Source organism: Homo sapiens, chromosome 3 (assembly GCF_000001405.40).
Source record: "Homo sapiens chromosome 3, GRCh38.p14 Primary Assembly".
Lineage (NCBI taxonomy): Eukaryota > Metazoa > Chordata > Mammalia > Primates > Hominidae > Homo > Homo sapiens.
Window position 1 is genome coordinate 170,524,846 of NC_000003.12, and position 13,091 is coordinate 170,537,936.

At 43.8% G+C, this 13,091-nt stretch overlaps 1 protein-coding gene and 1 long non-coding RNA gene across 3 annotated transcripts in view; one reads left to right on the forward strand and one right to left on the reverse strand.

Annotated features, from left to right (window-relative positions):
• The window catches only part of SLC7A14 (solute carrier family 7 member 14), a 126,528-nt gene that overhangs the window by 65,298 nt on the left and 48,139 nt on the right, over positions 1-13,091 (reverse strand). The window contains exon 2 of the mRNA NM_020949.3: positions 1,788-2,243. Coding sequence (NP_066000.2) covers positions 1,788-2,091 — 304 coding nt within the window. The 5' untranslated portion in view covers positions 2,092-2,243. The remainder of the gene's footprint in view (positions 1-1,787; positions 2,244-13,091) is intronic.
• The window catches only part of SLC7A14-AS1 (SLC7A14 antisense RNA 1), a 287,921-nt gene that overhangs the window by 57,561 nt on the left and 217,269 nt on the right, over positions 1-13,091 (forward strand). The gene's annotated exons all lie outside the window — the stretch shown is intronic.

Consider the following 13,091-nt stretch of genomic DNA (forward strand, 5'->3'; position numbering starts at 1 on the left):
GGAGAAGGGGATAAATGGTAAAACCAACAGGAAAGAGAAGACATGACAGGAGGTTAATAAACTCAGCTTATTTTCCTTATCAAATTAAAGAGACGTTAAATACAAACCAGCACACTTTCTGGTTGCATGCTTGTAGTCTGTCTTTGTGTCCTATGTGAGCACTATTTATTCTACACGTATGATATTAATGTAATGCTTTTCTTATGATAGCACGCATTGGTACACAGAATTCCCAATATAAGTTAGAATTCCCACTTCTCCTGAAATATTCGAAGAGACCAAGACATTTGCTGTCAGTACATGGGTTGGCCCACATGATCTGCCACCCTAAAACCCAGAAAAGCCTCATGCTTTTGCAAAAAGCCGGAGGTTTTCCTTTCTCAAGTTGTCCATTGGCCTACTCCAGCAATTCTGGGAAGATACCGTAGATTGCTACTCAAGAGAAAAGGAAGGAAGAGGAAAAGGCAATAGGAGAGCCATTTTTACAAAGTATCGGCATGTGAGTCCTTGCACCTTATTTTTAAAAATGAGTTTTATGATTCTTTCTCAAGGGGAGACAAGGAGCTGCTAGTGGACCTGTCTCTGTGGACTATAAATCTGTGGAGGTGTTTGTGGCAGATGGCGCATTGTGATTCTCACAAGGGCTTTAAATCTCCTGGCCTGGCTTCCTTCTCCTTGGGGGCTCGATGCCAGTTTGAGGTTTATCAAATCCCAATCATATCAGATTTACTGACTTGTCATTTTGCTGCTCTGCCTATCTTTATTATTTATATCTTAGCTGTATCCTTCCACTGTCCCTCAAGAGGATTGACCTATCTTCCGGTGTAAAGGAGAGTTAAAATAAAAACAGAGCCATTAGAACGTGACAGGGAATGAGAAGCTGGGAGGTGTATGAGAACCAGAATAATTCTCTGTATTGAAAAAATAGGCCGGGAGCGGAGGTTCACGCCTGTTATCTCAGCACTTGCCGCGGCCGAGGCGGGCGGATCACCTCAGCCTCCCAAAGTGCGGGGTCAGGAGTACGACAGCAGCCTGGCCAACATGGTGAAACCCTGGCTCTACTACAAGTACAAAAATTAGCCAGGCGTTGTGGTACGCACCTTTAATCCCAGCTACTCAGGAGGCTGAGGCTAAAGCAGAAGAAGCGCTTGAACCCGGGAGGTGGAGGTTGCAGTGAGCCGAGATCGCGCTATTGCACTCCAGTCTGGGCGACAGAGCAAGACTCTGTTTAAAAAAAAAAAACCCAGAAAACAAACAACAACAACAAAAAAGAAGGCCAGGCGCGGTGGCTCATGCCTGTAATTCCAGCACTTTGGAAGGCCGAGGCAGGTGGATTAGTTGAGGTCAGGAGTTTGAGACCAGTCTGGCCAAAATGGTGAAACCCCGTCTCTACTAAAAATACAAAAATTAGCCGGGCGTGGTGGCGGGCGCCTATAATCCCAGCTACTCAGAAGGCTGAAGCAGGAGAATTGCTTGAACCAAGGAGGTGGAGGTTTCAGTGAGCTGAGATCATGCCACTGCACTCCAGCCTGGGCGACAGAGCAAGACTCCATCTCAAAAAAAGAAGAAAGAAAGAAAAGAAAAAGAAAAAAAAAAAAGGAAGCTACTATAATTAAGTCAAAACCTGGCCCTAACCTCCCTGGCAGTCAAGGCAAAAAAGAGCATGATGATCCACTTTTCTGCCACTTCATACATCTCACCACTAAATACTCCGGAGAAAGGGGATGAACAGTGACCAGGCTGGTAAGCACACTTTCCACAGTACTTCCCTGCATGGAGACACTTACCTGATAATATGGATGCGACGGCTGCAATGATGAAGGACACAATGACACCAGGTCCTGCCATTTCCTTGGCCACCAGGCCAGAGACCACATACATGCCAGTGCCCACACAGCTGCCAACGCCAAGAGAGATGAGGTCCACTGTGGTGAGTACCTGGGCTAGCTTAGTTCCATGTGCCGTGGTGGTCCCAGTTCCCTCTAGCATGGACTCCACTGGTTTGGTGCGTAGGATCCTGGAGTGCATTGCATACCAGGCAGCTCCCCACTGCACCCGCCGGGGGTCCAGCGAGGTGAAGAAGCCACTCATCTTGAGCGATAGGGGATGCAGTGAAGGTCAGCTGATGGAAGGGGGCTACAAAGCCTTAGTGGATGGTTCTGGAACTCATCTAGTGAACAGGGATCTCCCTTTTAGGAAAGGCCCAGAGGGACCCAGTGCAGCCTTCTCCTGGGCATGAATGTCTGCAGGAAAAACACAAGAAAGCAGAAGATGAGACCGAGTGAGAAACAAACCTTGACTTGCGGGGATGGTTGGAGGTTAATGTCCTGAACTGGTAGAACTGGTCTACCCGTGTGCTCATAACACGGAAGGGTTCCATGGTTCCACTCTCCTTGCTCTTCTCTCCAGTCCTAAAGGACTGCCGGCGCGTGCACTGTGTTGCACAGTCATCCTGATGAGGATGGTCTGAGTTAGAGCTCTGCCACTTACTGCTCTGTGGTCTTGGGTAAGCCATGTCTGTGTTTCAGTCTCAGCTGTCCAATGGGACAATAAAGTCTCTCTCCTAGTGTTGATGTGAAGATTAGATGAGTGACGTCCATAAGGAGCTTAAGAAAATGCCTGGCGTATGGAAAGTGCTCATCCATCTCAACTCTAACTACCTCTTACTTTGCCAATACTTGGTCTGTGATTCTTGGGCATATTTTGAGGGGACATGATATCTACATGTTTTTTAACATAAAAATGTAAAATTAGATCCATGAGTCTTAAGAGGGGCCATGCCACCCCATGGGTTATTTTGGCACTTGGCTCCCAAATGAAATAAAAAATGTTTTGGGAATTTTTTTTACTCTCAAACATTGGAATGGTGGGGAGTACTCCTGGCATCTGGGGGGAACCTGAGATGTGAGTTGTGTAGGATGTTGTCACACAACTTTTAGATATTTTGCTTGACTTTCCTGTAGATAAAAATCCTGGTGATGATGATCTGAGCCTGTCAACTCACTCTCTTTTACATATAAACTCATAGGATATTTTGGATAGCCTTAATATACAAGTAAATTGAATTTTCCAGGAATACAACTATAGAATAAATCAAAGGAAGATTATAATGTATTTAGTTTGGAACTTAAGAGGAGTTGTTTGCCCTTTCAGAAAACCAAGGACCCCATGGGAATGCCACCCGTGGTATTGCATTTCTCATGCTGCACCCTGGAACAGCCTGCCATCTGGAACTGGCACGTTTGCGGTGATTTTTCACATAGTGCAAGCATTTGACACCGTCATTTGGATATGCCTGGGTATTTACACACTGAAATATGTTGTATATAGGTAGATGATCAATAATTTCACTTCAGGATACTAAAAGGAGGTATGACAAAGTATTTATTATAAAAAGGGGTGTTGGATCTGATAGAATTAAGAACTACAGTGTTAGGTAATTTCTAAAGTTTAGTAAATTAGGAACTGCAAATATATGAAGCTACATTCTTTGGAAGCCGGAAGCTGGAGAAAATTTATAAAAACTGTATAAAATTTATAAAACTCATAAATGTATAGAATTTTTGAAGTATAGCCAGACGTTGATTCCAAATACTGTACTGACAAGCTCAGGACATTTATATAATCAGTAAGTACCTGCCTACCTCATCTACTCATAGTATTAATGAATACTAAGCACTTAATGTAGCACTTGTCTGCTTCTAAAGGCTTTTCAAACGCTAATTAGAAGAATCAGGTGAAATGTGGCTGTTTGGTTCACAGGTTTGGGTGACAGCCTTTCTGGTTTAATTTTTTCCTAGCTTTGACAGTGTGGCTTCGTGCTGTGTTTTTATTCTTGACAACACCTTAGATATCACTATAGTTGGATAACACGCCAGAGATATTTAACAGGCTAGAGTGTCTGCATTCCTCCCTTCCACGTCCCCTTCCTCCTCTCCTCTTTCTTCTTCTAAAGATTTTCGTATTGGCAAGAAAATATACCATATGTTTACCGAGAAGGCCGCTAGAACAACTGCTTTGGTTGAGGTCTTGTGGGGACATGAATCCACGTGTCTATTTATTTCCACTCAGCCAGCATATAAGGAACACCTGTTATGTGCCAAGCATGGCGTGAGGCTTGTAGATGCAAAGACATAGTCCCTGCTCCCATGGAGCTTGCAGCCTGGGATGAGAGATAGTGGACGCCAAATCACACTGCAAGTGAGAGGGTTTATTTTTGTTTTTCCCTGAAAAGCTTGGCCTTTATTATTTCTCTTTTTACACAAACATCGCATATCTATTGCAGAAAAGTCAGACAATATAAACAACAAAGAACCACATGAGTAAATAAGATACCACCCAGCTAGCTACAACTTGATTTATATTCTTTCAGACCCTTTTCTATGTAACTACACACCTATTTGAATGGACATATATATATGTGTGTGTGTTTTATAAATGTTATATCATTTATTCTGATTTGAAACTTTCTTGTTTTGCTTAACAATATGTTAGAATGTTTTCCCACATCAATAGTTATGGAAACATCATTTTTAATAACTGAGTAGTAGCTTCACTATTGTGGCTTCAGTGTTTTTATTCAGAAAATTGGCCTGTTGCTTTAGTTTTAATTCATCCGTTCAAGAAACTATACAAAGCATCTTCTCTGTGTCAGCCCAGCCTTAGGTAGCAGTTGCTGTGGCAAATGAGACATTCAAAGTCCTGCTGTCATGGTGCTGACGTTTGGTGAAGAGGGAGGAGGCAATACACAGGCTGACAGATAAAATCAGTCAGTTTCAGAGAGGGATACAGACTGTGTTATGGGCTGAATCATGGCCCCCCCAAATTAGAATGTTGGAGTCCTAGCCACCACACCTCAGAATGTGACTGTATATGGAAATAATATCATTATAGATGAAATTAGTTGGGGGGAGGTCATACCAAAGTAGAATGGGCCCTTAGTCCATATGACTGATGTCCTTATAAAAAGGGGAAATTTGTAAACAAAGTCACACACACAGGGAGAACAGACATGGGGGTTATGCCTCTACAAGCAAAGGGATGCCTCAGATTGCCACGAAAACACCAGAAGCTAGAAAAGAGGCAGGGAACGGATTCTTCCTCATAGCTCTAAGAAGCCAACCCTGCTGACACCTTAGTCTTGGATTTCTAGACTCCAGAATGGTGAGACAATACATTTCTATTGCTTAAGCCACATGGACCGTGGTATTAGGTTGGCACAAAAGTAATTGCAGTAAAGCACAAATTGCAAAAACCGCAATTACTTTTGCACCAACACAATACTTTGTTATGGCAGCCCTAGCAAACTAGTACAGGCTTAGAGGAAATAAAATGGGGGTGATAAAGGGGTGGGAAGGTCTCTGTGGACATGGCATTGGCTCCTGAGTGGTGCAAAGAAGCCAGTTGTACCAGATGTCAGGGAAATGCTCCTCACATTGTGGTTCAAGAGGATAGAGCGGGTGTTGCATCTGCTGGGATCTAAGTGAGACTGGTATGGGGTAAGGAGGAGGATTTGAGTGTCGTGTTGACTAATTAAATCCTCACAACATATCTCCCTTTACAGATGAGGCAAAGTAGGCCGGGAGAAGGGCAGTCACTTACCCAAAGTCACCAGAGCCAGAGCTTGGCCCTGGGCTCCGTGGGGCTCTCTTGCTTAAGATGCGCAGAGGTCAGACTGCCAGGGGGCTGGTCAGCCAAGATAACAGGGATGTGATTTGGATATTTAGTGCAGTGAGAAGCCCTTGGAGGCTTTTATTCAGGTGAGCAATATGAGATGACTTACTTTCTAAAAGCTCATTGTAGCTGCGGCAGAATCTTGGGCCCTGGGATCCTTTAAGGCAGCCCGGGATGGATGTAAAAAGGCGAGGGGTGTGGACCTGCTGCAGCGGGGAGGCCGACAAGTAAGCAGAGATCTATAAGCCAGTGGGACTCTGCAGCCAGGGCAGTGCCTGTACACAGGACACTATGCAGGAGGGAGAAAAATTGTCAGCCGGCTCCAGGAGAACCTCACAAGCTGTGCGCTGCTGGAATCGAGGAGAGAGGCCCTGCGGCAGGTTGTGGCTGTGGTAAATGCAGGTGGGCTTCATGCCCGCTTTTGAGGGGTGGTGAATGGTTTCCCATCTTGAGACCCTTGGCAGTGGCTCTCCATCTTGGTTGCACGTTGGAAATACCCAAGGATCTTTCAGAAATGCTGGTGCCTGTGCCCCATCCCCAAAATTCTAATGTAATTTGCCTGAAGTATGGCCTATATACAGGGGTTCTTTAAATGCCCCAGCTTATGCTAGCACAGCAGAATTGAGGTTCCCTGCCCCATGCCAGGCATAATGACAAATGCTCCGTGTGGAAAACCAGATATTGCTGTTTTCCACAGGAGGCCACTACTCTGACAGGTACTTCCGGTTTCCTTCCCTGGGCAGGTCATGGGGCCTCTTAACAGCTCTCCTCGGCAGGCAATGACTATGGAGGCGGCACTGTCTGGAGATATCTCCTGGGCTACTTGTCCTGTTCAGCCTTCATCAGAAACTGTCACAAGGACACCGAGAAACAAACCAGCCTTTTTATGAAAGTGATGGCTTCTATTTGCACTTCGTATTCCTGGTAATTAGAAACCGTATTGAAAATGTGGAGAATCAACCAAAAGCAAAGGTTGAGGGTGGCAAGAATGCCCCCTGGTCCTATTCTCTTCACGCAATTCCCCTGAGTGCTTGCTTTATTGATGCAAACAGGGAGTTGGGACCATTTCCTTTCTTGGTAGGAAATGTACTGGAGAGAACAAAATGTACAAAAGAAAACATGCTTCTAGGTGACTATTGGCAATATCCATATTCATTACCCCCAGATTATGTTAATCAAATATAGTTTTGGAAGCTCATTGCTGTTGTCTTTCCAAGATGAGCAATAAATGTGTGTTGTGCTTTCTCTAGCACTTTAATTCAGGTTTCTCAAAATACTTCACAGCTATAACTAAGGAAGGCTTACAGGGCCTCTGGGAGAAGAGAGTCATCATTGTGGTGCTTGCTGGCATGCTCGAGGGTTCAGTGGGCTCCAAGGATAATGATGATAAAAGCAGGTTTGTTTCAGGATGCAAATAATTACAGTTGAGTAGTTCACTGAATGAGTAGGATTATCGAATTAGGCTAGAGACTGCCTTTGGAGGTGAGGAGAGGAAGGAAACGAAGGCTAACAAAACAGTAAACAGCCAGTAATCATTCCTGCCTGATTTTGCAAATATGCTAAGGGACTACAAAAATCCCTCATGACACACTCGATGAGTAGTTGTCCAGCTTTTTCTGGAACATCTGGGCCGCAGGGAACATTGGCTGATAGAAGCAGCCCTTTCACGTGGTGGGACAGTTAGGATTGCTACAAGATTCTTTTAATTGATGTCCCCAGGAAAAATGAGGCTGCAGTTAGAGTAAACGTTGCCTGGTTTTCTGAGCCCCACCTGGTGACTGTGGGATCTGAGGACCCTTCTGAGGTCTCTGCCCACTCCCGCATCCAGGTCTTGGCTAACCCTCTCACCACCTCCCTGCTTTTCTTCCTCTGGGCTGAGCTCCTGGCTCTGGGTTAAGAACACAATTCAGGAACCAGGTGCCCTGCATGCAAATTCTGCCTCTGCCTTTACTAACTAAGTGACCTTGGGCAAACCTCACTATGCGTCAGTTTTGCCATTTGTAAAATGGGATCACAGTGGTACCTAGCTCACAGGGTTGTGGTGAGGAGTGGAAGAGCTAATACGTGTAGAGCTTTTAGTACCGCGCCTGGCGTATAGTGCATGCTGTGGGAGCGTTAGCTAGCATCACCCTGCTGTGGCCCCTGACCAGGTGTTTTTTTTTTTTTGTTGTTGTTGTTCCCTGCTACTGACACCCTTCCCACCACCTTCACCTCCTTAGGCAGCTCTCAGAGGGCCCTTGGCCTGATGCCAAGTCCTTAATCAGGGCTTTTTTCTGTTGAACCTCCCCTGGGTTTCTCCTGGCTGCAGCCTGTGCACCTGGTACTTCCACTCCAAGGGATTCTTATTTACCTTTCTCAAACTTGTGGAGAACGGCTTTCCTCTTTCCTGTTTTCCTTTATCTAAAGGGGCCTTCAGCAGATTTGCTTAGGCCTTTGGGTGTTATGCCTCCTCTCATTCTTCTATACTTTTGACTTTTTTCCCCAAGATGCACACATACCTTTGGGATGGCTAGACCATGGTAGGTTCACCTTCAGTTGCCACCCCATCCCTGAAAACATGATCCCCTTCTGACTTTTATGCCTGTGGCTTACTCTGGCTCACTCAGCTAGCATAAGCTTTGATGGTGGATCCTCTCCTGAAGTCCTTGCTCTTCTACTCCTTCCAAGCTCACCAGATACGGCTTTATGTTTGCACCATAACTGGGGATGTGCTTGCATGTCAGCCACTCTGACTTTATACTACGTGGCCAGGTACAGGCCAGATGCGTCTTAATCTCAGGGTCTGCTCAGCTCTGACAGAATATCCTGGTAAACTGAACTGTGATGTGTGTCCCAGTAACTCTCTTCTGTTGTCTGCAGTTTTGCTCTCTGTATCTATACAGATTAGAGTTAATCTGCTTATGGGATAAGTCTTCAAGTTTTTGATAGCAACTAACATATATCTTGGAGTCTTATCTTTCCTAGACTAAACATCTTCAATTTCTTCTGCGATCAACAGTGCCTCACATGTTATAGCTTCTAGATCAACCACATTCTGATTTGTACTTCTTGAATAGGCTGCAGCTTATCATGGTTGACACTTTTGGACCATGACAGAGTGGTAAGGGAGATGTTTTTGATCCATCTGGCCCAGTGTGTGTGTGTGTGTGTGTGTGTGTGTGGTGTGTGTGTGTGCACGCACACACATGTGTGCACAAGCACGTGCCTCTTAAATCATGCAGTGTTGGTGCCTGACAAATTCACTTAGATGTACGATTGGCTTTAAAACCAGGGTTCCTGATTTTCAGATGGCTAATTTTTTCAGTTGTATCTTTGCTGAGTGTTTGATCAAACCCACTTCAAATATTTTTTGATTACCTACCATATTATTTAATGATGTGCTAGCCTGTTTATATTGTATGTGGAGTCTCAGACACAGCCAACTTCGTTTTACTTGGAATATCTTTAAAGGGGACTATGAATCTATAATGACTGCATATTTTAGCTATGCAAATAAGATTGCACCAATTAAGCTTCCTTTTCAAAGCTTGTTGGTTTTTTTTGTTTGTTTGTTTCTAAAAAGTTATTGAGTATATTAATCAGCTTTTGCTGTAGTAACAAACAACCCCAAATTTGAATATTACAATGGTGATGTTTGTCTCTTGCTGTGGCTGTACTCCAGACAGTGGATCGGCTTCAGATCTTTTCCCCAATCTGGACTGGGAGTCTACTCCACACGCCTTCTTATTCCAGGATTCAGGCTGAAGGAGCAATCCCTATCTGATGCATGCTGCTCTTTCGTGGCACAACTGGTGGAAATGTAAAATGTCTCTACTGCTTGTGCTGGGAACTGGCAGTTCCACTGACTTTCCATTAACTAAAGTAAGTCATATGACCAAGCCCAAAGTTAGTGGGGTGAGAAGTGTCCTCCTCCCATTGAAGGCAGGTGAGTCACATGGCACAGGGCGAAGTTGTGCACTTTTCTTATGAAGGAGGATGTAAACAGTTTTGATGATATGTCACTGATCCCTTACTATGCACTAGGCAAAGCAATTATATTTTTCTTCTGAGGCTGTTTTCTCTGAAATGGGCAGATATCTGTACATCTGAGGAAGAAACTTAAGACTCTGATGTGTTCATTCCTGCATTTCCACAATTAATTCTTTAAAGATATAAATAATGATTGCCTGTAAATAGGTAAATTAAAAATTCATCTGCTTCCAACACCAGGCAGAACAAAATAAAGAGAAACCTGTTTAATTTTGTTTGCTTGAAATAATTCTTTAAAAAAAACTTATGAAAACAATTGATTTTTACCTGGTCTGGGACAATATTTCTACTGACACAAATAGTTTCCCATTCTGCTCCCCTGTTTGTCAACACTCCAGAGTTGCGAATACTCTCTGTGTATATATTTGTTGGAAACTGTGGTGAAAACACTCTCAAGAGCATCTACTTGGAGAAGGAAGGATAGGCTTGTTCAGAGATTGGTTACTGAGCGTTGAGACACCACGTTTCTCCTTCGATGCCCCAGTCAGGGAGGGTATCACAGTTTGACATCACCTTCTCCTCTCCTTTTCCATGGACCTCAGGTCCGGTGCCTCAGGTCTTTGCTTGGGGCTAGGTGTCCTTGCATGTGTGGCCACAGTCTGGCATCACCTTCCACTCTTCTCCCGCAGATCAGGGTCTCCCAGGTTAGGGTCTCAGGTCTCTGCTTGGTGTCATGTGTTATTCATTGTATATAAGATAATATTAACAAAACCAGAGTTCAGGAAATGAAAAACTCTTCATTAATCAGATATTACTGGGAAACCTCTCTGTTAGAAGGGACAAATAATACCAAAAACCAGTTAATCCTTCTATGCCACCATAAAAGATTTAAGAATTTGTATTAATCATTGCAAAAGTATTTAATGAGTTCCCGGTGTGTGTTTAGTTCAATGGTAGCTGTTATGGCCATAAAATAAATTATTGTAATCTACAGAATATCAGGAATTTAGGCACAAGGCAGCTTCAGGGAGTGCGAGTGTCCTTTGCTTGTCCTTCCAGATCCACCCAGCAGCCCACTGGCTGTGTCCTGGGGAGCTGACATGCTCCCTTGCCCTCTGGTTGGATTGGTCAATGGGAGGCACCAGCAGGTGATCAGGAGGATGGAAGAGAGGCAGGCCAGGTGTTTATCCCTAGCTTCCCTTTGCCAGGTCACTGTGGGTTGGCTGTGGCTCCAGCCAGGTGGCCCTCTCCACATAGCCCTAACTCTCTCTGGTTCTGATAATTCTTTCTTTATCCCCCCTGTCATTTCAGGCAGTGGGTAGTACTCATGTTTCTAGCCCTTGGAACTGCATTTTGCCTCATGATTTCTCTGCCCACTGCCCTCATCTTTATATATATTAACAGTTCTTTTCACTAACTTTCCTCAAAATACCAGGCTTGAGTGTGCCACGTGCTTCCTGCTGGGATCCTGACTGATACATGGGTATATTAGACGGCTGAGATAGATTCAGGAAATCAACAATACCCGCTGTGTCTACAGAGATACTGGGTTTGAAGTCTGAACAGTGAGGTCTGGGCTTTGACTCTGCTGTGTGACCTTGGGTTTGTATCTTAAAATCCCTGAGCGTCAGTTTTATTATCTGAAATACAGGAGAAATAATAGTTACCTTGTAAACCTGTCATGAGGATTTAATGAGATGATGCTTGTGGATGCAGTTTGGAAACCACAAAGCAACCTATAAGTGTAGGTATTGAAAATGTGACCAATGCCCCAAATATAGCTAAGAGACCGTAAGAGACTTGGTAATTAGCAGAAGTAGATCATAAGCTGTTTGCAATGCTTTGCTTGCCAAAGAAGAAGAGTGAACCATAAAAGTTTAGAAAAACTTTGAATGGAAGACTGATATAGCAATATTTTTTCTGGTTCATATTTGATTAGCCAGAAAAGTTAATTAGTTAGAACATATTTCCCAAACCTTCCAGTTACTTGGAGTTTAACTGCATACAAAAGTTATTGGGAAGTCTGATGGGCCCATAGGTCATTTCTAAATACATGCAGATTTCCAAAATTAACACTGAAAAGTGAGAGCACACTATCATACCATGAATATAGAGTGAATACTCTGTACTCATGAATCAGGAGACCGGAGGTTTTGTCCCAGTCCCGTAGGACAAGCTATGGGTGAGACTTGAGTAAGCCACAGCTTGCTAAGGTTTCTATTTTCTCATTTAGAAAATGTTGATAGGGACTTTTTAATGCAACACTATAGTTGCAAAGTGTACTCATGAGAGATGCATAAGGTGGCTTTTTGCACAAAAATTCTGGTCTCCTCATCCCAAATGTGATTGTAGAGGCCATTCTGAAATGATGAGATCATAAAATATTTGTATTTGAGATCATCCAGCCTGGCACCTTCATGCCATGTGTAATCTGAGCCCCCAGAAGACAATCTGCACCCACTCTGGCTGGATGCCCATCTCAGCATGTCCTTACACTCAAGACAGAACACTAACTGGACTCCTAAGATACTGAAGGAAATGGAAGCCTTTCTGGCAAAATAGAGAAATGCTATCACATATCTCACACAATTCCCTCTTGTATTAGGTCCCTCTGGCTGCTGTAACAAATGGCTACAAATGTAGTGGCCAAAAATGACAGATTTGATATTTTACAGCTCTGAGTCTGCAGGGCTGTGTACCTTCCGGAAGTTCCAGGGACAGTCTATTTCCTTGCCTTTTCCAGCCTCTAGAATTTAGAGGTCACCTGCATTCCTTGACTTGTGATTCTTTCCTTCTTCAAAACCAGCAACATAGTATCTTCTCTCCTCTCTGATCCCCTGCTCCCCTGTTCTAAGGATCCTTGTAATTATATCAAATCTATTCTCTAATCCAGGATAATCTCCTCATCTCAAGATTCTTAACTTAATCACCTCTGCAGAGTCCCCTTTGTCATAGTCACAAATTCTGAAGATTAGAACATGGACATCTCTGGGGAACATTATTCCATCTTCTAAGAACCACTCTTATCTTAGACATGTCTCTCTTCGTATTTCTGTACTCTATGGCAAACTGCCACCTCTCTCATCTCTCTTTTCCTGAAAACACTCGGCTGAGCATTTATATGCTTTTGGAAAAATTCTGTCCCTAATTAAACAAAAACTTAACCAGAACTACATGTACCTATTGTCTGTCAAGAATACTCATGGTAGAGTCATTTACTCAGCTGCTTTCAGAGGAGCAGCTTCAGAGCCTGAGCGCTGAAGTGGTTTATTTGAGGCCACACCCAAGTGATGGCAGGTGTCCTGACCTCCAAGCCAGTGCTTTCCGTACTGCTCCGTATTTAAAAAGGTGAATGGAGCAGCCTATATTTTCTGCATATAATGTTATCCCAGGCTTGGGATAATCTCCAGAGGAGAATTAGGCATTTGCCTAGTTGTCTATATGGTCGT